The sequence below is a fragment of the Homo sapiens genome, chromosome 19, assembly GCF_000001405.40.
Source record: "Homo sapiens chromosome 19, GRCh38.p14 Primary Assembly".
Lineage (NCBI taxonomy): Eukaryota > Metazoa > Chordata > Mammalia > Primates > Hominidae > Homo > Homo sapiens.
In genome coordinates this window covers 35,626,664-35,647,321 of record NC_000019.10, presented here as the reverse complement: position 1 = coordinate 35,647,321, position 20,658 = coordinate 35,626,664, and the positions used below count along the sequence as shown (strand labels likewise).

The 20,658-nt window shown below is 54.4% G+C and overlaps 2 protein-coding genes across 9 annotated transcripts, besides 8 other annotated features; both read right to left on the bottom strand.

Moving 5' to 3' along the window:
- Positions 1,883-1,982: an enhancer, noted in NCBI's record as "active region_14489". NCBI's record gives its function as "activates an Ori minimal core promoter by ATAC-STARR-seq in GM12878 lymphoblastoid cells {active_cell/tissue: GM12878}" and the evidence as "EXISTENCE:reporter gene assay evidence [ECO:0000049][PMID:35858748]".
- Positions 2,451-5,577, bottom strand: ETV2 (ETS variant transcription factor 2). 7 transcript variants are annotated; one of them, NM_014209.4, is made up of 7 exons: positions 5,166-5,577; positions 4,792-4,888; positions 4,624-4,707; positions 4,277-4,357; positions 3,569-4,048; positions 2,975-3,087; positions 2,451-2,670 (listed from the first exon to the last, which is right to left on the bottom strand). In NM_014209.4, exons 2-7 carry the CDS (start codon positions 4,859-4,861, stop codon positions 2,470-2,472), a joined length of 1,029 nt encoding a protein of 342 aa, NP_055024.2. In that variant the 5' UTR covers positions 4,862-4,888; positions 5,166-5,577; the 3' UTR covers positions 2,451-2,469. The 7 variants fall into 7 exon arrangements, with proteins under 7 accessions (NP_055024.2, XP_005258709.1, XP_047294360.1 ...); XM_005258652.3 differs by having other exon boundaries at positions 4,624-4,888; XM_047438404.1 differs by lacking the exon at positions 4,277-4,357.
- Positions 2,623-2,962: a silencer, noted in NCBI's record as "silent region_10531". NCBI's record gives its function as "represses an Ori minimal core promoter by ATAC-STARR-seq in GM12878 lymphoblastoid cells {active_cell/tissue: GM12878}" and the evidence as "EXISTENCE:reporter gene assay evidence [ECO:0000049][PMID:35858748]".
- Positions 3,773-4,052: a silencer, noted in NCBI's record as "silent region_10530". NCBI's record gives its function as "represses an Ori minimal core promoter by ATAC-STARR-seq in GM12878 lymphoblastoid cells {active_cell/tissue: GM12878}" and the evidence as "EXISTENCE:reporter gene assay evidence [ECO:0000049][PMID:35858748]".
- Positions 4,706-5,421: an enhancer, noted in NCBI's record as "H3K27ac-H3K4me1 hESC enhancer chr19:36132803-36133518 (GRCh37/hg19 assembly coordinates)". NCBI's record gives its function as "activates a minimal SCP1, AML or CMV promoter by ChIP-STARR-seq in primed H9 embryonic stem cells {active_cell/tissue: H9 hESC(primed)}" and the evidence as "EXISTENCE:reporter gene assay evidence [ECO:0000049][PMID:30033119]".
- A 4,059-nt stretch (positions 5,578-9,636) lies between the features above and the next one.
- RBM42 (RNA binding motif protein 42) lies at positions 9,637-18,286 on the bottom strand. 2 transcript variants are annotated; one of them, NM_024321.5, is made up of 10 exons: positions 18,041-18,286; positions 17,649-17,802; positions 16,098-16,182; positions 15,917-15,991; positions 14,321-14,386; positions 14,070-14,245; positions 13,303-13,635; positions 12,949-13,066; positions 9,970-10,164; positions 9,637-9,880 (listed from the first exon to the last, which is right to left on the bottom strand). In NM_024321.5, the coding sequence occupies exons 1-10, from the start codon at positions 18,166-18,168 to the stop codon at positions 9,768-9,770; spliced, it is 1,443 nt and encodes a 480-aa protein (NP_077297.2). In that variant the 5' UTR covers positions 18,169-18,286; the 3' UTR covers positions 9,637-9,767. The 2 variants fall into 2 exon arrangements, with proteins under 2 accessions (NP_077297.2, NP_001306042.1); NM_001319113.2 differs by lacking the exon at positions 14,321-14,386 and having other exon boundaries at positions 14,070-14,224.
- Positions 18,181-18,475: an enhancer, noted in NCBI's record as "tiled region #5913; HepG2 Activating non-DNase unmatched - State 1:Tss, and K562 Activating DNase unmatched - State 1:Tss". NCBI's record gives its function as "activates a minimal TATA promoter and a strong SV40 promoter by Sharpr-MPRA in HepG2 and K562 cells {active_cell/tissue: HepG2 | K562}" and the evidence as "EXISTENCE:reporter gene assay evidence [ECO:0000049][PMID:27701403]".
- Positions 18,624-18,863: an enhancer, noted in NCBI's record as "active region_14488". NCBI's record gives its function as "activates an Ori minimal core promoter by ATAC-STARR-seq in GM12878 lymphoblastoid cells {active_cell/tissue: GM12878}" and the evidence as "EXISTENCE:reporter gene assay evidence [ECO:0000049][PMID:35858748]".
- Positions 18,624-19,316: a biological region, named in NCBI's record as "H3K27ac hESC enhancer GRCh37_chr19:36118908-36119435".
- Positions 18,789-19,316: an enhancer, noted in NCBI's record as "H3K27ac hESC enhancer chr19:36118908-36119435 (GRCh37/hg19 assembly coordinates)". NCBI's record gives its function as "activates a minimal SCP1, AML or CMV promoter by ChIP-STARR-seq in primed H9 embryonic stem cells {active_cell/tissue: H9 hESC(primed)}" and the evidence as "EXISTENCE:reporter gene assay evidence [ECO:0000049][PMID:30033119]".

Below are 20,658 nucleotides of genomic sequence, written 5' to 3'. Positions count from 1 at the left end.
CTGGGATTACAGGCGTGAGCTGCCCTACCTGGCCAATTTGGCTTTTTTTTTTTTTTTTTTTTTTTTTTTTTCAGACAGAGTTTTGCTCTTGTTGCCCAGGCTGGAGTGCAGTGGTGTGATCTTGGCTCACTGCAACCTCCACCTCCCGAGCTAGAGCGATTCTTCTGCCTCAGCCTCCCCAGTAGCTGGGATTACAGGCATGCGCCACCACACCTGGCTAATTTTGTATTTTTAGTAGAGATGCGGTTTGTCCATGTTGGTCAGGCTGGTCTTGAACTTTTGACCTCAGGTGATCTGCCCGCCTTGGCCTTCCAAAGTGCTGGGATTACAGGCGTGAGCCACCGTGCCCGGCTATATCTGTTCTTTTACATTATGTTTACCTCTTTTTGCCTCCCTCAACAGAAAAGAATTATCATAAAGGAAGAATTTTTGTCTGCCTTATTCATTCACCATTGTATCTAAAGCAGTGCCTGGCACACAGGAAGTGGTCTATAAATATTTGCTGAATGCAAGAATTTCTTGTGGAAATGAAGGAAGCATCTAGGGACTAGGAGAGGGAGCTATGAAAGAGAACTGCTTTCCTTCCTCCCCCATCTGGCCTCTAAAGCCTCTCACATACCATCTGGGGTGCAGTGTCCAGATGGAATTGGGTCAGGGACCTCTTCTTACACATTCTGTGTCCATCAACATTGTGATTATTTGTGGAATTACCTGTTTACATGCATGTATTCATCCCCTGCAATGAGATCTTCCTAAAATCCAAATCCCTTTCCCTGCTTAAAACCCCTTGATGGGGGCCAGGCACGGTGGCTCACTCCTATAATCCCAGCACTTTGGGTGGCCAAGGCAGGCGGATCACCTGAGGTCAGGAGTTCAAGACCAGCCTGACCAACACGGTGCAACCCCATCTTTACTAAAAATACAAAAATTAGCTGTGCGTGGTGGTGTGCACCTGTAATCCCAGCTATTTGGGAGGCTGAGGCAGGAGAATTGCTTGAACCTGGGAGTCGGAGGTTGCAGTGAGCTGAAATTGCATCACTGCACTCCAGCCAGAGTGACAGAGTGAGACTCCATCTCAAAAAACAAACAAACAAACAAAACCCTTGATGGCTCCCCAGGAGCCCTGGAGACAAAGTCCAGGCTCCTCACCACGGCCCACAGATCCTTTATGAATTGGTCCCTGTTGCTGCTGTAGCCACGTTTATTTTTAATTTTTTAAATAGAGATGGGGGTCTCCCCTATGTTGCTCAGGCTGGTCTGGAACTCCTGGCCTCAAGGCATCCTCCTGCCTCAGCCTTCCAAAATGCTGAGATTACAGGTGTGAGCCACTATGCCTGGCCCACACTGATAGTTTTGAGCAGTGGTATGAGATCGTCTGCCTCTGGGCCTTTGATCTTGTTGTTCCTTCTGCCTGAAACATTCTTTGCCTACCTGACTTCTCAAATCAGCTGTCTCCTCCTCCAGGGAGTCTCCCCTGACCCTTCTCCTCCTGGGCTAGATCAGGTCTCTCCTTTTGGCCTCCCTCAGTCCCCTGGAGTCTTCTCATCCCAGGTCAAAACACTCTGATGATGGGTCTGTCTTCCCACTGGACTGTGAGCTCCTTAAGGGGAGGGTCCAGGGCTGTCTTGGTCCCTGCTGTATCCCCCGCATCGCTCACAGACAGCAGGCTCTCTTTAGGGGCTCAGTGGCTCTCAGAATGGCGTAGGCTCTCTTTACAGTGTAGGTCTGAGTCCTGTGTCCTCCAGCTTGGAGTGGGGAAAGAGTGAGTGGTGTTGGGGTGCAAGCACTAGTTTTAATTCTTTGATGATCCCTTGCACTGGGAGGACACACAGCACAGTAAGCCCTTTTCAGGGTCTGAGTCTTCTCTTCAAGGGGACACAGCAGATATACTCTCATGATTGGGTCTGATTCCTTTACAAATCCCGACACAGGGCAGGGACACAGTAGGCCCTATGGGCTTTGGGTTTAGTTTCTTTGCCTCTCTCATCACAGGGCGGGCACATGGCAGGCTCCCTGAGTCTGGGTCTCCTTTGATCATTGCGCAGCACTGGAGGTGGGTGGTTCCTCATCCCAAAACTAACCACCGAGGAGGGAGGTCCGCGAAGATTGCGGAGGGAGTGAAGGCGGAGTCGAGAGGCGGGGCCTAAGGGGGCGGGACCGGGGAAACTGACAGCGTGGGGCGGGGCTTAGGGACCTGGGAGCTTAAGGGACTTGGGGCTGGTGGCCCGCACTTCAGGGTCTTCAGGGAGAAGAGGACTAAGACACTGCAGTCTTTTAGCGAGCAAGGATCCAGGCCTCTGGATCATGTGAGAGGAAAGAGATGAAGGCCCAGACGCCTGGGTCTCCGAGGTGGGGAGGCCAAATTCCAACATGTGGAGCTGCACACTTAGGCTCCCTAGCTGCTGTAGTCAGTATCAGCGGGAAGAATGCTGCAGAGGAGCACGCGCGAAGAGGTTTGACCGGGAATTTTTATTGTGTCTCTGCTCCCCGTCCGCCTCCCGCACAGTCCGGATAGGCTAGGCTGGGCACGCGGCCCCCGAAGCGGTACGTGTACTTTCGCCCCCCGCTCTTGCGCACGATGTCGCGGCGATAGTAGTAGCGAAGGCCCCGGCTCAGCTTCTCGTAATTCATGCCCGGCTTTCTCTTGCGCTCGCCCCACAGCCGAGCCACCTAGGACAGAGGCCCGCTCGGTCGGAGTGGGAAGGGGCGGGGCTTGGCGATAGTGGGGAGGGCCGGGCCTGGGGGCGGTGTGCAGTGCAGACCTGGGCGAGGCCTCGCAGAGCCCGGTGGAGACTGGGTTGGTTGAGGCAGGAGTACAGGCGGGAGATTGGGTTTGAGAAGGGTTGGGCGGGGCCTCGAGTGGGCCGGGGAGCGGCGGGGCCGAGGGCTACGCGGTTGAACCTAGCCCTTGGGCGGAGCTAAATTGAACTAGAAGAGACGGGGCGGATTTGGCTGGGCAGGGGAGCTGCCCCACCTCTTTGGGGTCGCACAGCTGGAACTCGCGGCTGTTGCCAGTCCAACGGATGCAGCTGCTACGCGCCCCGTCGTGGAGCAGCTCCAGGAGGAACTGCCACAGCTGAATGGGACCTGCGGGATGAAGGGAGGGGCACACTCAGTCTTCCCGGCCCTAGATCACACCACTTCAATGATCTAGAGGTCCGGGTCCTCCCAACTCGGGACCCAGGACCCGAGAAGGGGATCCGCCCCCCCTTCTCTGAGATCCAACAGTCAGCCTTGGAGACTCAAGCGTCCAGGGCCCCAGTCTCAGAGATTTAGGAGTTTGGCCTCCCCATCTCGGAGACCCAGGAATCTGGGCCTTTATCGCTTTCGTTTTATATAATCCAGGAGCCTGGGTCCTCATCCCCTTGGTCCCTATAAGACTACCAGTTTCTTAGCCCTCTCCTCCCCAAGGACCTGGAGTGCGGGCCACCGGCCCCTCCTTCGAGCCCCTGGTCCCTAAGCCCCCGCCCCCTCACTGTCAGTCTCCCGGGCCCCGCCCCCTTAGGTGCCTGGGTCCCGGCTCAGGACTCCAGCTTCGCCCTCCCCGCAGTCTTTGCGGCCCTCTCACCTCGGTGGTTAGTTTTGGGGCATCGAGCCAAACTGGCACGGTCCGACTGCGGGCTCGGTTCGGAGCAAACGGTGAGAGCTGAGCTCTGGTACCGCTTCAAAGAGGTGGTGCCACCCGCATGCAGCCCCGGGTTCCAGGAGGTGGTACAGTCCGGGCCCGCGGGCCCGCCCCACGAAATGGTACAGTCCGTGCGCGGCTCCCCGCCCAGGCCACTGCCCCAGTAGGTATCGCCGTCGGGCCCCACAGAACAGTCCCAGCTGGTGTTGCTCCCGGCGGCCTGGGCGCGCGACCACGAGGTGGCCTCTCCCGCCACGGGGACGCAGTTCTGGCCCGCGGCGCCTTCGGAGCCGGCGGCGGGGATGGGGCCCGGGCCGAGAGGGGCGGGGCCCAGGGTCTGCGAGGCGCCGCTCCAAGAGTCCCAGGCTGTGCACGCCATGTCTGTCCAGTCCCCGGACCACGGAAGAGCCTGAGAGTCGGGCTCTGTGAGGAGTAACGGATCCCGAGTGAGGGGAGCCCAGGTGCCCCCTCAAAAACTCTAGGGTCTAAGCTCTCAACCCTGGCACTTGGGGCCCGGCTGACCCGGATCCAGGTCATGCCACCTTGAGGGCGCAGGTGTTCTCAGTCCTCAAAGATCAGGGAGTCTACACCTCTAGCCCCGGTGCCTCGGGACCCCAGTCCCCACCTCCCACCGCCTCTCCCCACACTCACCCGCCCCCCATGGAACTTCTGGGTGCAGTAACGCGGAGCCCCAGTCCAGCTGTGGGAAGCTTGCCAGGGATGAGCTTGTACCTGAGTTTAGGGAGGACTGTGAGCAATGAAAGAGACCCCTCAACTACCCACTCTCTAGTCTCTACTTGTCAGGGACTGGGAGTTATGGCCCCCCAGCCCGTATTTCAGCACCCCGCGCCCCCTTTTCCTTCACCCTCAGGGGTCAAGCACGCGGCCCCTCCCCACCCAGTCCCAGGAACCTAGGCACGCCCCCCTCCTCCCTTTGCCCTAGGATCCCAGCCTCCCCGCTTCTTCTCCAGCACTTAGGGGTCCCAGCCCGCAGCCACCTTTCCAGCATGTCTCTGCTGTCGCTGTCGGCGTGTCCCCTTGGAGTGCCAGATCAGGGAAACAGAAGCCTAATTTGGCTCCTTCTGCAGGCGATAAGGGGTTAGGGTCAGCAGAGGCCCCACCTGGACACCCTCCCCACACACGTTGTGGCAGCCTCGGCAGCCTACCAAGCCCTGCCAGCTTGTTCCCTGGAGGCACTTCCTGTGGGGATGCCTCATCCCAGTTCCACAGGTCCATGGATGCGATGAAGGCCTTCTGAATGTTCTGGGTCGGGAAAAGTCCAGATGGCAATGGGTGAGCTGGTGACACTTGGAGGCCCTGGAGTCTGGGCCCCAGCCCTAGCTTCCCTCAGAGCCAGGAGTCCAGGCCTCCGCTCCCTCCTTCCCCAGGAGCCTAAAATCTTGGTCCTGGGAGTGAGGGACCCCAGCTCTCTTCCTCTGTTAGACCCAGGAGTCCAGGCCCCCGGCTTCTTGGGAGTCTAGTCCCCCAGGTCCTTCCTAACCCAGACACCCAGGCATCTAGTCCTCAGTTCATCGCTCACCTCTGGCGGGTTCCTCTGCCCCCAGCCGGGGGTCTCAGCCCCATTTCATACCATGCACCCCCTCCCCCAAGGGCCTGGGCAAGGGGGAATTTTCCGAGACGTCAGAGCAGGGGTCGCAGCCAGGCTCAAGTTGCAGAGGCAGGGGCGGGGCCGAGCCTCGACCCCAGCCTCGGGGATAGGTGCTGGCCTCTGGGGCTGCCCTGCTGCAGGGGTGGCGTGGGCTTGGAGCGAGGCTTGGGGAACAGCGGGCTGGGTGAGGGCAGGGCGGAGGCTGGGAGAAGTTTACGGGGTGATGGGGGCGGGGCGGGGGGCTTGGTGAACGGGCTGTCTGCCTCAGGGTCTCGATCCTGCGACATGGGGGGAGTGAGGGGAGAGGGTCTGGGGTCAGCTGGGCTAAGCTGGGCTTATCTGCAACAGGAAGAGGGATTTCCGGCCAGATTCCCCCACCCGCCCCCAGCGTCAGCTGACGTCACAATCGGCAGAGTAACTGCGGGGGCGTGGAGCAGGAGTGAAGGCCCACCCAATCCTCCACCAGGCCCAGTAGGGAGGGCGTCCTGGGGCTGCTTCCCAGGAGTGCCAATCATAGCAATATTGACATCAACAATTTCAACAATAACAATAGTAGCAATAACGGCCAACATTAAATGAGGGCTCATTGTGTGAAACCAACTGTGCCATACCCCTTCATTGAATCCTTCTATGAGGCAAGTACAATACATACTCTCATTTGATGAAGGGGGAAGGTAAGGCAGGCATCCTCCCACTGCTCTCCTTCTCCAGACCCCATGCCCTTCCGCGCTGTAATAGTTTAGGACAATTGGGGAAACTGGAGTATGAACTGAATATGAAATATCATAGAATTCTTTTCTTAGATTTGATAATGGTATTCAGGAGGAAAGATATCATTTAGAAAATGAACTCAGAGATGAAATGTTATAATGTCTGTAACTTGTGGTTGGGCGCGGTGATTCACGCCTGTAATCCCAGCACTTTGGGAGGCTGAGGCGGGTGGATCATCTGAGGTCAGGAGTTCTAGATCAGCCTGTCCAACATGGTGAAACCCTGTCTCTACTAAAAATACAAAAAATTAGCCAGGCGTGGTGGCGGGTGCTTGTAATCCCAGCTACTCGGGAGGCTGAGGCAGGAGAATTGCTTGAACCAGGGAGATGGAGGTTGCAGTGAGCCAAGATCATGCCATTGCACTCCAGCCTGGGGAACAAGAGCGAAACTTCATCTCAAAAAAAGAAACAACAAAAAAAAAGTCTGTAACTTGCTCAAATAATTCAGCAAAAAACAACAAAAAACCACAGCTATACATGTAACATATACATACATACATGAAATATTTAGGACATACCTAAACTATAAAATTGTTCACGTAAAATTCAATAACTGGGTGTCCTATATATATATAAAATATTTTTCGAGATGGAGTCTCACTCTGTCGCCCAGGCTGGAGTGCAGTGGTGCGATCTCAGCTCACTGCAACCTCTGCCTCCCGGGTTCAAGCAATTCTGGTGCCTCAGCCTTCCAAGTAGCTGGGATTACAGGCAAGCACCACCATGCCCGGCTAATTTTTTGCATTTTTAGTAGAGATGGGGTTTTGCCATGTTGGCCAGGCTGGTCTCGAACTCCTGACCTCAAGTGATCCACTTGCCTCGGTCTCCCAAAGTGCTGGGATTACAGGCGTGAGCCACCATGCCTAGGCTAATTTTTGCATTTTTAGTAGAGATGGGGTTTTGCCATGTTGGCCAGGCTGGTCTCAAACTCCTGGCCTCAAGCTATCCACCTGCCTTAGCCTTAGTGCTGTAATTAGAAGCATGAGCCACCACCGTGCCCAGCCATCCTGCTGTATTTTAATAAGTATGTAATATTTACCATTAAAAATAACTTTTGCATATCGGCATCTTCCAGTCCCCAGCCCAGCCTCTTGATCATTAACTACTTGCCGTTCTGGAGAGCGGGTGGCATTGCTCCTCCTTCCATTTTACAGTAAAGTAAACCGGGGGTCCCATGGAGTGGGAGTGGGACTGGGATTGGAATCAGTGTGGGGTAAGCCACAGAGCCCTGGAGCATCACTGGTCCCTCTATCCGTCCAGCGCGGAGGCCTGAAGGGAGTCCTGGCTTCCCATCCTTGAAGCTGGCCTCTTGTCTGTCTCTCCATGTCTCTCTGCCCTCTTTCTTCAGGTTGGCATATCTAAAGCTGGGTCTCTGTTGCCACGGGCCTGACTCCAGTGAGGCTTTGTCACCTGGTCTCTTCTGACATCTCTGTCCCTCCCCATCTGTCTTTGAGTGTTCCTATCTCATCTCCTTGTCCGTCTCCATCTGTCTCTTGGTTTTCTCCCCGTCCCCCTTCCCACTGCACAGTCTCTGATGGTTCTCATCTCTGCCTCTGAGCCTCCTGCTCACAGCGCCATCTCTACCTCTGCTTGCCACATTCTATGTGTGTGTGTCTCTTCTTGTTCTCAGGAAGACTTGTGTGCATTAAAAAAAAAGATAAACATTTAGGGGGTACAAGTGCAGATTCCTTACTGGATATATGTCAGTATATCCAGTATACTGGCCTGGGCCTTTAGTGCACCCGAATGGTGAGCAACGTACCCAACTGGTAACTGTTCAGCTTCCCCCACGCTCCCACCTTTTGGAGTCTGCAGTGCCTGTTACCCCACTCTGCATGTCCACGTGTACCTGCTGTTCTGCTCCCACTTGGAAGTGAGAATCACATGCATTTGGAAGCGTCCTTTCTGGAGCCATCCTCTCTTCCCATCTCCTCCCGTGACCCTATGCTTGCTGTCAGTACAAGGGGGGTCAGGGGTAGAAAAGACTAGTGATGGGGGGAAGGGGCTTTGAGGATCCTGGGGCTGGGTGGTCTGGCCCAGGTGGCAGGGGGCTAAAGGGCACTTCCTGCCAGGGAGGCTCTCACCCTCTGACCAGACTGGAAAATGTGACGTCAGAGAGGGGGCAGTAAGGCGGGGAAGACAGGAACAGGAGAAATTCGACACCTCTCCTGGGGGACCTCGGTCCCTGAGAGGCCTTGGTATTGTCCATCCCCCGACTTATGCCCCACAAAGTCCTGCCCAACCTGCTCCCTCCTAATGGAGGGTTCCGATGGCTGTGTCCCTGGGAGACCCTCCACTCCTCCCCATACTCAAACCTGCCATCTCCCTCCTCTGGCCCAGTCCCTGCCCCAGCCTTCTAGACTTCCAGCCACAGTGGTGGTCGCAGGGCGTTTTTTTTTTTTTTTTTTTGAGACAGAATCTCACTCTGTCACTAAGGCTGGAGTGCAGTGGCGCGATCTCAGCTCACTGCAACCTCCTTTTACCAGGTTCAAGCGATTCTCCTGCCTCAGCCCTCCCAAGTAGCTGGGACTACATGTGCCCGCCACCACGCCCAACTAATTTTTGTATTTTTCAGTAGGCACAGGGTTTCACTATGTTGGCCAGGCTGGTCTCGAACTCGTGACCTCAAGTGATCTGCCTGCCTCCCAAAGTGCTGGGATTACAGGCGTGCGCCACCGCACCCAGCCGGTCACAGGGCCCTTTCTACAGCGCACATCTGTGCTGCCCAGGACCTTGCTGCTGCTTGAATTTTCTCAGCTTTTTGGGGCTTGCTGCTGCCTTCTGCGTAAAGCTTAAGCCCTCAGCCTGGCATTCAAGGCCCTGCACAGACACCTCTTCAGACAGGCAGAGGCCAGCTTGGAGCTGGGAAGAGAGGGGAACAGACCCCAAGTCTCTGTTCTCTCTATCTGTGGGTCTCTCCTCCTTTTTCATTTCCCAGCTCCAAGGGAGAGAACAGAGACCAACAGGGATATAGAAGCTTAGAGACAAGAAATGGAGGGGTACCCACAGAGACAGAGATAGAGGTGCCCACCGAGACTTAGAGCATGGTGAGCTGGCTGGGCATGGCAGACTGGAGAAGCTGGAAAGCCCCAGAGGAGACTTGGGGGTGGACGGTTCCTTCAGGAAGGGCCCCCTCACCCACAGGTCAGCGCCCCCATCCTGCCCTGACCACTCTGGGCTCTTATCGTCAGGGCACCGGGCCTATTTTCTGCACTGGACCTTGAGCTCTAACGGTGCAGGGCCCAGGACTTTTAGTCACCATTGTGTCCTCAAGCACTGTTCAGACCCTTGGTGAGAGTCTGCTGGATGGAAGAGGGCCTAGAAGCCTGTGAGCTCCAGAAGGGAAGGGCCTAGATCTCCTACCTTGGTGCTGAGAACACAGGAAGTAGCCAGGACACGGGGATGGGCCTCAGCTTGGCTTCACCCTTGCCATTGGCCCCCCTTTCTCCTCTGGAATAAGCAGCACTCAGCATGTGTGGAAGAGGTTTGAAGAGGGAATGGGTGCGCAGGAAGGGCTCAGAAGCCCCCGCCTGGGTGTTTGCCTGGGTAAACTCTCAAGGCTCCCCGCCATTTCCAGCTGTGGGGAAGCCAAGCCCTGCTCCCCACAGCGTGCTTCCATGCCCAGCCAGGGGTGGAAATGAACGTAAATTTATTGAAACTGGTTTTGGGGCAGGGGATGGGTGGACAGCTGGGGGTTTTCCAAAGAGAACTGAGGGAGGAGCCAGCGCCCGGCCAGGTGGGAGCGGGTGCCTGGCCACAGACCCTATCTCAGGCCCAGCTTCTTCTTTTCCTTCTGCTTCTTGCGGACCACGTCCAGATTCCGGTCCTTCCACATGCTCTTGCGAAGCTTGATGGGGCGCGAGCCCACATACTTCCCTGTGGAGACAGAGGGTTCAAGGCAGGCTCGGGTCAGGCTTAGGCCAGCGCCTGCCGCGCCTGCAGTTCCCAGGGGAGGCCGCACCCACCATTCATCTCACGCATGGCGCGCACGTAGTCGCTGGGGTCCTTGAAGCTGACGAAGCCGTAGCCCTTGGTCTTGCCTGTGCGCTTGTCACGGATCACCTTGGCCTTAAGGAAGGATGGGAAGCGGCTGAAGGCGCGTGCCAAGATGTCATCGTTCACCTCATTGCCCAGATCCCCACAGAAGATCCGGAAGTCATCTGGGGATGGGGAAGAGATGACATCAGAGGATGCAGAGGCCTTGCCCAGTGTCTACCTTGTCTGAACGATCCCACCTTTTCGGAGGTATCTAGTCTCTGCCTAGGGACCTCTTAGTAATAATGGTCAACACCTACTGACCCTGCGCCAGGAGCTCTGCTGGCACCTGGAGGGGTGTTTCCATTTCTGGCACTCCCAACCATGCTTTTACACTGAGGCACAGAGAGGTGAAGTCACTGCCCACAGTGACACAAGCAGGAAGCGGCAGAGCTAAGACAAGAGCTCAGGCATCTGGCTCCAGTCCTTACTTTTAACCTTGAACTGCACTGCCCTCCCCACCCCAGGGCCACCTCACTCATTCCTGTAGTAACACCCTTAACTCTGCCCTAGCCCTGGCCTTTCCTCTGAGCCTTGGTGTCCCTTGGTCCCCTGGACCCCTGTCACCCACTGGCTGCCCGTCATGGCACCTCAGGAACATGGGCTTCATCTTTCCTCAGCCCTGCTTCCTTGGCAAGGCCTGCCCTAACTCCCCCTTGAGACCTGGACATGCTGCCTGCTCCTCCGCCATGGCTGCACCCAGCTGACATTCTCATGCTGCCTCTGAGTTGGGCCTGTGCTTCCACTGAACATGCTCTGTCCCAATGAATCCCTGTCCCCACAAGGGAGGGGATGAGGAATATGAGGCTTAAAAGGCTAAGTGAGCCAAGCACAGTGGCTCACGCCTGTGATCCCAGCACTTTGGGAGGCTGAGGCAGGTGGATGACTTGAGCTCAAGAGTTCAAGACCAGCCTGACCAACATGGTGAAACTCCATCTCTACTAAACAATACAAAAATTAGCTGGGTGTGGTGGTGGGTGCCTGTAATCCCAGCTACTCGGAAGGCTGAGGTGGGAGAATTGCTTCAACCCAGGAGGCGGAGGCTGCAGTGAGCCAAGATTACACCACTGCACTCCAACCTGGGTGACAGTGCGAGACTCTGTCTCAAAAAAAAGAAAAAAAAAAAAAACAAAAGAAGAAACAAAACAAAACCAGGCTAAGTGACTTGCCCAAGGTCACAGAGCTAGGGTCTTCTCTGGGCCAGGTAGACGGTCCCAGGAGAGGGGGTGGAAGTCAAACACTGAAGCAGGAGGGGTCCATCTCCTTCCTCAGCCATTGCACGGCTGCCCCATGGCGTCTGTGATATGGGACACTCTAAGCACAAGTTAGGCAATGCCAGGAGCAAACAACCGGACAAACTCAGAAGGTGGGACATCATACATGACAACTGCCCTGGACACTTCAAAAAATATGTACAAAACAAAGAGGCAGGAAAGAGACCGTTCTTATTAAGATATAATCGAGGCTGGGCGTGGTGGCTTATGCCTGTAATCCCAGCACTTTGGAAGGCTGAGGCAGGCGGATCACAAGGTCAGGAGTTCGAGACCAGCCTGGCCAGCATGGTGAAACCCCGTCTCTACTAAAAATACCAAAAATTAGCCAAGCATGGTCGTGCGCGCCTGTAGTCCCAGCTATTCGGGAGGCTGAGGCAGGAGAATTACTTGACCCTGGCAGGTGGAGGTTGCAGTGAGCTGCCGAGATTGCGCCACTGCACTCCAGCCTGGGCGATGGAGCAAGACTCCGTTTCAAAAAAAAAAAAGAAAAAAAAAAAGATATAATTGAAGGACATAAAACTGCATGCATGCTGGTTCAGGGCAAAAACATTAATAGTTCTAACAGAGTTTTGGGACACCTAGGGAAATACGAATATAAACTGAAAAGAAGATACCGAATTAGTTAATGTTCTTAGACTTGATAATAGTATTATGATATGCAAAAAGTATCTCTTTTCTTTTTTTTTTTTTTTTTGAGATGGAGTCTTGTTCTGTTGCCAGGCTAGAGTGCAGTGGCCTGATCTCGGCTCACTGCAACCTCTGCCTCCTGGGTTCAGGCGATACTCCTGTCTCAGCCAACCGAGTAGCTGGGATTATAGGTGCCTCCCACCAAGCCTGGCTAATTTTTTTGTATTTTTAGAGACACGGGATTTCACCATGTTGGCCAGGCTGGTCTTGAACTCCTGACCTCAAGTGATCCACCTGCCTCCGCCTCCCAAAGTGCTGGGATTACAGGTGTGAGCCACCGTGCCTGGCCAAAATATCTCTTTTCTTAGGAGATAAATACTGAGATATTTAGAAGTGATTAATTCACTTATAACTTGCTTCAAATGACTGAGCTAAAAACAAAGAAACCAGATACATACACAAAGAGGAAAAAAGTGAACACAGCAAAATGTTAATTGCAGAATCTAGGTGGTGGGTAGACGGGTGTTTACTGTGCCATCTGTGTTTAAAATTTTTCCCGGCCAGGTACAGTGGCTCATGCCTGTAATCCCAGCACTTTGGGAGGCTGAGGCAGGAGAATCACTTGAACCTGGGGGGCGGAGGCTGCAGTGAGCCAAGATTGCGCCACTGCACTGCAGCCTGGGCGACAGAGTGGTACTCTGTCTCATAAAAAAAAAAAAAAAAAATTTTTATCCTAAGAGTTGGGAAAAAAAAAGAATGCTCTCTGAAGCCAGGCACCTCATGAGTAAAACAGGCTACAAAGCCCCATGTCCCCGTCACCTCCACCAAGCTCCGGCCCATGGCTAGGTGAAGAACCAGCCCCTGAGCCATAGCCTCCCCTCCCCAAGGTGGGCTAACAACAGCGCCCACCCTACTGAGAGGGTTCACCCTCCCAGTCTGCAGCCCAAGGACAGCAGCCTGGTCTGACCTTGGCCGAGCCACGCCTGACCTCGAGCTTCAGCAGCTTACCTGCATCCCACTCCAGCAGGCTGGGGTCCTCCCAGCTGCTCCCTGCCGCTGTGCGAATGCACCGTTTCAATTTCTCTGGCTTCCCCTTCTTCTTGTCTTCACCCAGGGGCTCTGGGACCTGCAGAGGAAAGGGGAGAGGTGCAAAGGGGTTGGTATTGGGGTCTCCCACTGTCCTTTGGTCCCCGGCCCTCCTGCCACCACAGTAAGGGCTGGATGTGCTTCTGGATGTGGGGCACATGTGTCCGCCTCCCTCCCCCAGGTCCTCCTGCTGTCCGGTCTGTCTGTGTGGAAGTTCCTGGGCTCCTGTCTGCCCCCCGTCCCTTCTGTCCCTTCACCGCTAGGCTCCCTGCTTACCTCAAGAGCCATGAGGCCTGGGGGTGGCTCTGGCCGAGGGGGCCGGGGCCGAGGACGCAGGGACAGGAGTTCAGGAATGCGCAGCGGGGGCAGGAGGCCGCGGACGACCTCCAACGGGAGGGGCAGGGGCTCAGGCTCGGGCAATGGCATGGCCAGGGCCAGCGGCAGGCTGGGCCCAATGACTGCAGGGCCAGCTGGGGCACCTCCTGCCCCCACGGCCACAGCCGCGCTAGCCTCCTCCAGCCCAGCCGCCGCCGCCACCACTGCCTCTTCCTTCTCTTTCAGGCCCAACCCCAGGCCTAGGCCCAGCTCTCGGGGTGCTGCTGGCTCTTCCTGTGGGTAAGAGGAGAGCATGAGGGGGGCCGGCTCACAGGCTCAGACTTTACTGTCATCTCCATTCCATCCAACAAAGAAAGGGCCTGGGGGCCAGAGAGCAGCCAAGAGACACCCAAGCAGAGAGTCTCCAGCCAGACAAACACAGAGAAGGAGAAACACAGGCAGAGAGAGACAGCCACAGACAAGAACATCAGTAACAATCAAAAGAGAAATATTCCAATAGCATGTTTCTCTCTGTACTCCCTTCACAAAAGGAGAGAACAGATTTTGCCACAGAAAGATGCAGAAAGAGACAGAGACAAAGGCAGAGTGAGAAGGTAGAGAAACAGAAAGTCAGGAGAGAGGCCAACTCAGACATAGCCCATTGGGCCAGGATGGATGGTCTCCCCGTCCACCGCACATCTGACCGTTAGTTCCCTGTTCACACTCACCAGAGGGGGCCTCAGTGCAGCCATGGAGCCCAGCGGGGGCCCTGGAGCCCGAGCCATTGGTGGCAGCATCATGGGTGGTCCAGGGGGCCCAGGCAGAGGGGGGCCCACGAGGGCCTGGTGAGGGGGCCGTAGGGCCATAGGGCGGGGGCCGGCTGCTGCAGAGGAGAGAGCGGAATCTGTCAGGGTGTTAGTGGGGAGTTCCAGGGCCTGGGGGGAGTTATGTGGCAGGGATGATGACCCTGGCCCCTCACCTGCTCTCTGTAGCACGTGGGGGACGAAGGCTGGACGCAGGATAGGGGCCCTCTGGGGGGCCACAGCTGTGGGAGAGAGAGATGGGGGTGTGTGTCATGGGGGACAGGGGCACTTGGGACAAGGTGTGTGTGTGCATGCGTGTGTGTGTGTGCACTCTCAGCATCAAGAAATCCTGGAGAAGAGTCTGGGGAGCCCTCCTGGAGATGTGGGGGCCTCTCCCCTGGTTCATTCCATGAAAATTTACCACTGAGAAGCTCCTCTGGCTCAGCCCTGTGGCAGGCAATGCTGGGGACACACCAACAGACCCAGGGTTCTCAGGGAGCTCCTGGTCCAGAGGAGGAGGGAATGGAGACATCACTAGAGAAGGAGAGCCAGTGGGGACCAGCGCTGGAAGCAGGGAAGCCCAGGCAGTGGGATCAGTGCTAAGAGAGGGGAGCCCTCTGACCCAGCCAGGCCCAGGGAAGGCTTCCTGGAGAAAGGGACCTGTGAGCTGAGACCCAAGGGGCAATGAAGTGTTAGGCAAGGGGTGAGTGGGAATATTATTGGCAGGAAGAATATTTATAAGCAAAACCTTTCCCTTTTCAGTTTAGTGTAACTGTAATAGAAGTAGTGGGGCTTAGAGAGTGTCATGAGAAGGGCTGAGCAGCCAGCAGGCACCCCAGTAGAGCTTTTTTGTTCTTAAAGCACAGCATTCTTGGCTGAGCCATGGGTGTCCTCCTGAGGGCACTGGGGAGCCACAGCAGGGTTGGAAGCTGGGCAGGGGAAGTAGGTCAGATTTGCATTTTGATCAAAACCATACTAAAAAGTAAGAGACATTACAACTTCTCAGAGATCATCAGATTAATAAGTATAACAGGATTTAGGTAACATAAGTAGCACGTTTGGTTTAACCGAGATTATACCAGAATTTTACATCCAAGTAAGAACACGCATCCTTTTCATACATATAAGGAAGTAATGTCCTACAAATTGACAGTGTGAGTAAAGGTTACCTGAAGAACAAAAGGTGGAATGTAGAAAATGGCCTGGGGGGGAAGGATGGCTGGAAGATTACAGCTGGGTGACAGTGAGCAGGGAGAGAAGGGACCTTAACAAAAGCACTGCTGGCACATCCCAGAAATGTTCGGGCTGCTGGGGATCTCTCCCTGCAAGAAGCAAGGTCATGTAGGGTTGTGACTGCCAGGGGAAAAGCCTGGCGCTTGTCTCAACAGTCCGTTCATCCCATCAACAGACAGTACATAATGCTTCCTATGTGGCAGATACTGAGACTTCTGCCCCTCATGGAGCTTTTATTTTAGAGGATGCAAAAGATGATAGCCATAGTAAATAAGAAATTATATAGCTTGTTATGAGGTGTTAAGTGCTGTGGTAACTGGGAATTAGGACTGACAGCAGGAGGGTTGGTTTGCAATGATCAGGTTAAAACAAAATTGACATCATCAGAAAGGACATGATCAGGTTCGTGCTTTAGGATGACAACATCAAGTTGGGATCAAAGGCAAAGGGTAATTTAGAGCAAGGATTTAGGCAAGAGGCTGAAGTCATGTAAACAAGAGTGCCTGATTAAATGTGGGGGTCCCTGGCCCCAGACTCACCTGCCCGCCGCAGGAACATGGCTTCTCGAGCCTCTGGGCTGTCCAGGTGACTCCGATCACCAGGGCCAAAGCCAACTGTTGGGAGGGGAGAGGCAAGGATGGTGGGAGGAGAGTCCTGTGCACACCTTTTTACCACCCTGCCTGATTGCCCAACCCCCTCACCTTGCTACTCTTTACTTACCAGGGCCTACAAAAGGAGGGCCACCCACCATGGGAGGAACTACTGTGGCTGCAGCAGCTGCTCGGGCCTCCAGAGTCTGCTGGACCTGTCGAGGAAGAGGTCAGGGTGAGGGGCCTGACTCAGCATTCCCATCTGCTGCGGCCAGCTCACCCCAAGAGACCAAGAGCTTCATGCTTTGTGCTCTGTATGTGGCTGGCTATCTCAGGTCTTAGCTAAAATGCCACTTCTCGGGGAGGCTTTTTGGATCACACTAGGGCTCTCTGAGCAGCAACTTCTCTCACCACCTTATTTCATCTTCCCCACAGCACTTAGCACCCACTGAAACTGTGTCCAACCTGTCCTCCCCATCTCCCATGCACAACCTCCATCCAAGCCACCATTAACTCCTGTCTAGATTACTGTACTAGCCCCTTCCTCCATCTCCTGGCTTCTGCCCTTGTCCCTTACAGTCTTTTTTTTGAGACGGAGTCTCGCTCTATTGTCCAGGCTGGAGTGCAGTGGCACGAGCTTGGCTCACTGCAACCTCCGCCTCCTGGGTTCAAGTGATATTCCTGCCTCAGCCTCCGGAGTAGCTGGGATTATAGGCGCCCGCCGACACGCCCGCCTAATTTTTGTATTTTTAATAGAGACGGGGTTGCACCATGTTGGCCAGGTTGGTCTTGAACTCCTGACCTTGTGATCTACCCGCCTTGGCTTCCCAAAGTGCTGGGATTACAGGCGTGAGCAACCGTGCCTGGCCACCAGGGTTCTTAAAATGGCCATAAGGCTCTACAAGATTTGGCCTCACCTCTCTGTCCTTATCTCCTCCCACTTTCCTCTTTGCTCACTCCACTGTCACTGGTCTCCTTGCTGTTCCTTGAACACAACAACACAACAGGTATGCACCTGCCTCAGGGCTTTTTTTTTTTTTTTGAGACGGAGTCTCGCTCTGTCACCAGGCTCCAGTGCAGTGGCGCAATCTCAGCTCACTGCAACCTCCGCTTCCTGGGTTCAAGCGATTCTCCTGCCTCAGCCTCCCAAGTAGCTGGGACTACAGGCACGTGCCACCACACCCAGCTAATTTTTGTAATTTTAGTAGAGATGGGGTTTCACCATGTTGGCCAGGATGGACTCGATCTCTTGACCTCGTGATCTGCCCGCCTTGGTCTCCCAAAGTGCTGGGATTACAGGTGTGAGCCACCACGCCCAGCGCCCAGCCTATTTTCATCTTAATAATTTCTCTCTCTTTCTCTACTAGTCATATATAGTTGGCTACTGAGCACTTGAAATGTGACTAATGAGAATAACGAACTATTAAATATAAATTTTAAATATATCAGAACAGTCTCGTCATTGCAGAAAGCTCTACTGGACAACATGTTCTAGAATATAAGCTCCCACAGGGCAGAAATGTCTCTCTCAGTCATTACTGTGTTCTCAGTGCCTGGCATATAAAATATTTGTCATGCTAATTAGTCAACAAGCCAAAACGTCAACAGCTCTCTGTACACAAACACCTACTCTGTTCGAGGCATTGTGTTCCCTGACTTACATGCCTTAGCTCAGCCGTACCTGCTGGTATGTGTTGGTCGCGATAATTGGGCGGATCACAGGAGCCGCTGGGACCTGCATCGCTTCTACTGTGGGGACCGTGGGGACAGTGGGCACCGCAGGCACAGCAGTTGGGATTCCAGGTACTGGAGCCCCCAGAACTTCCTGCTCAAACCTGGAGGAGTAGAACAGACATCAGCGCTCAGGACCTCGTACCAATTTTGGAACTGTGGGTATATCGCGAGGGGACCCTCACCCCTGCCAACCTCTCCCCTATCCCCGCCCCCACAATCCCGAAGGTCCCACTTCCCCATGTTAGAGCCGTATCTCCGGCCTATCGAGGCCTGGAGGCTCCGAGATTCGGTGGCTCTGGCTCTGGGACGACTTTTATCACTCTCTGTCGCGGGCCTTACAGGGCCATCTCCGCCTCCATTTCCTTCAAGCGTTCCTCGCCGCTTTTGCCCGGGATGCCAGCGCCAGGACCCGGGACCACGGGTCCTCCTGCACCCGGGAGTCCCGGGGCTGGCCCCGCCCCAGCCATCGCTGCCGTCGTCGCTGTCGCCGCTACTACAGTCTCTGCTTAGCCGCCGCCGCTGGTTCTGCTGTCTACTCTCCCCCTTCGTCCGGGTGGGCTCCCGAGGATGACGTCCAGCAAAAGCGACGGGCGCTGGCGCATGACGTCATACATTCGGGCGCGAGAGCCAATGAGATTTGGCCACACCCTCAGGGGGAATATAGGCCAATCAGAGTGAGAGAAGGACACACGAACGCAAGAACCTGGGCCTATGAGAGCACAGCGGAGAGGCGGCCCCGCTTTCCTGGAGGACCACCGGCTAATGAGAGCGAAGCAAAGTCAGTTGGGCCCATCCCCAATGTGGAATCTGGACCTTTGAGATCGCAGGAAAGTTTGGAGGACCCTCCTGTGCCACCGCAGAGCCCGCGCCGGAAGTTTAAAAAGACGCTAAAGTCCGTGTCAACCCCAGGGTTGGGCAAGGCTGGGAGGCCTGGCTGGCCCCTCGGGGCCCCTATCCTGGAGTAGGTTGACACCCGACCTGTGGTTTCCAGGAAGACCGGAGACGCCCGGGAGGAAGCGCCTGACCCGGCTTCCTGGAGGAGGACAGCTGAAGACATTTAAAGATGAGAGCTGTTCAGGGTGGGAGCCAAGGCCCAGAGACTAGTGCAACTCAGAGGAGCACGTCCGTGGGCTTGGTCCCTGTCCTTTCTTGGGCCACAGCTGACCCTTTTTTTTTTCCCGTAGCCCTCACAAGTGTTTTATTCTGAGTATTTTCAAACATGCACATTAAGGGGAATAGTATAACGCACTCTTAAGTACATCTCAAACGCTACCAATATTCAACACTTCTGGATTTCACTTGATCTATACTTCTTTGTCACGCGCGTCCGTGTGAAGAGACCACCAAGCAGGCTTTGTGTGAGCAACAAGGCTGTTTATTTCACCTGGGTGCAGGCGGGCTGAGTCCGAAAAAGGAGTCAGCAAAGGGTGGTGGGATTATCATTAGTTCTTACAGGTTTGGGATAGGCTTATAAAGTACATTCTCAAGGGCGGGGAGAATGTTACAAAGTACCTTCTTCTTTTTTTTTTTTTTTTTTTTGAGACGGAGTCTCGCTCTGTCGCCCAGGCTGGATTGCAGTAGTGTGACCTCGGCTCACTGCAACCTCCACCTCCTGGACTCAAGGGATTCTCCTGCCTCAGCTTCCCTAGTAGCTGGGATTACAGGTGTGTACTACCACACCCGGCTAATTTTTGTATTTTTAGTAGAGGCGGGGTTTCACCATGTTGGCCAGGCTGGTAGCAAACTTCTGATCTCAAGTGATCCACTCGCCTCGGCCTCCCAGAGTGCTGGGATTACAGGCATGAGCCACTGCGCATGGCCTTATACTTTTCTTATTTTTATATTTTTTTGCTGGAGTATGTTAAAGCAAATTCCAGACATCAACTCAGTCATAAATGCGCCATTATGTCTCCTTAACAGATAAGAACTATTTTTTTTTTTTTGAGACGGAGTCTCGCTCTGTCGCCCAGGCTGGAGTGCAGTGGCGCGATCTCGGCCCGGCCGATAAGAACTATTTTTAAAAAATACCATTAACGCTGGGCTCAGTGGCTCACACCTGTAATCCCAGCACTCTGGGAGGTCGAGGTGGGCGGATCACCTGAGGTCAGGGGTTTGAAACCCGCCTGGCCAACATGGTGAAACCCTGTCTCTACTAAAAATACGAAAATTAGCCGGCCGTGGTGGCGTGCGCCTGTGGTTCCAGCTACTCGGGAGGCTGAGGCAGGAGAATTGTTTGAACCCGGGAGACAGAGGTTGCAGTGAGCCGAGATCGCGTCACTGCACTCCAGCCTGGGCGATAGAGTGAAACTCAGTGTCAAGAAAAAAAAAATACCATTAACTATGCCATTATGAATACCATCAAATTAATTTCTTAGTATCATCTAACACCCAGACCGTGTTCAGTTTTCCTTGTCTCAAAAATGTCTTTATACGATAGTAGAATCAGGATCAAAACAAGGTCCAAATATTGCATTTGATTGTCTTTTTTTTTTCCTGTCAAAACTTAAATTTTTGCTTGCTCAGATGTTTACCAACAAGAAAAACTTAGAGGCCAGGCGAGGTGGCTCACACCTGTAATCCCAGCACTTTGGGAGGCCAAGGCGGGTGAATCACGAGGTCAGGAGTTCAAGACCAGCCTGGCTAACGTGGTGAAACCCCGTCTCTACTAAAAATACAAACATTAGCTGGGCGTGGTGGCGAGCGCCTGTAATCCGAGCTACTTGGGAGGCTGAGGCAGGAGAATCGCTTGAACCCGGGAGGCGGAGGTTGCAGTGAGCCAAGATTGTGCCACTGCACTCCAGTGACAGTGCGAGACTCCGTGTCAAAAAAAAAAAAAAGAAAATTTAATTTTATTGGCTGCCTTGGTTTCTTGAAGCTGCAGTATGAATCAGTACAAATGAATACCTGCCTGCCTGCCATCTTTCTTTCTTTCCTTCCTTCCTCCCTTCTTCCCTCCC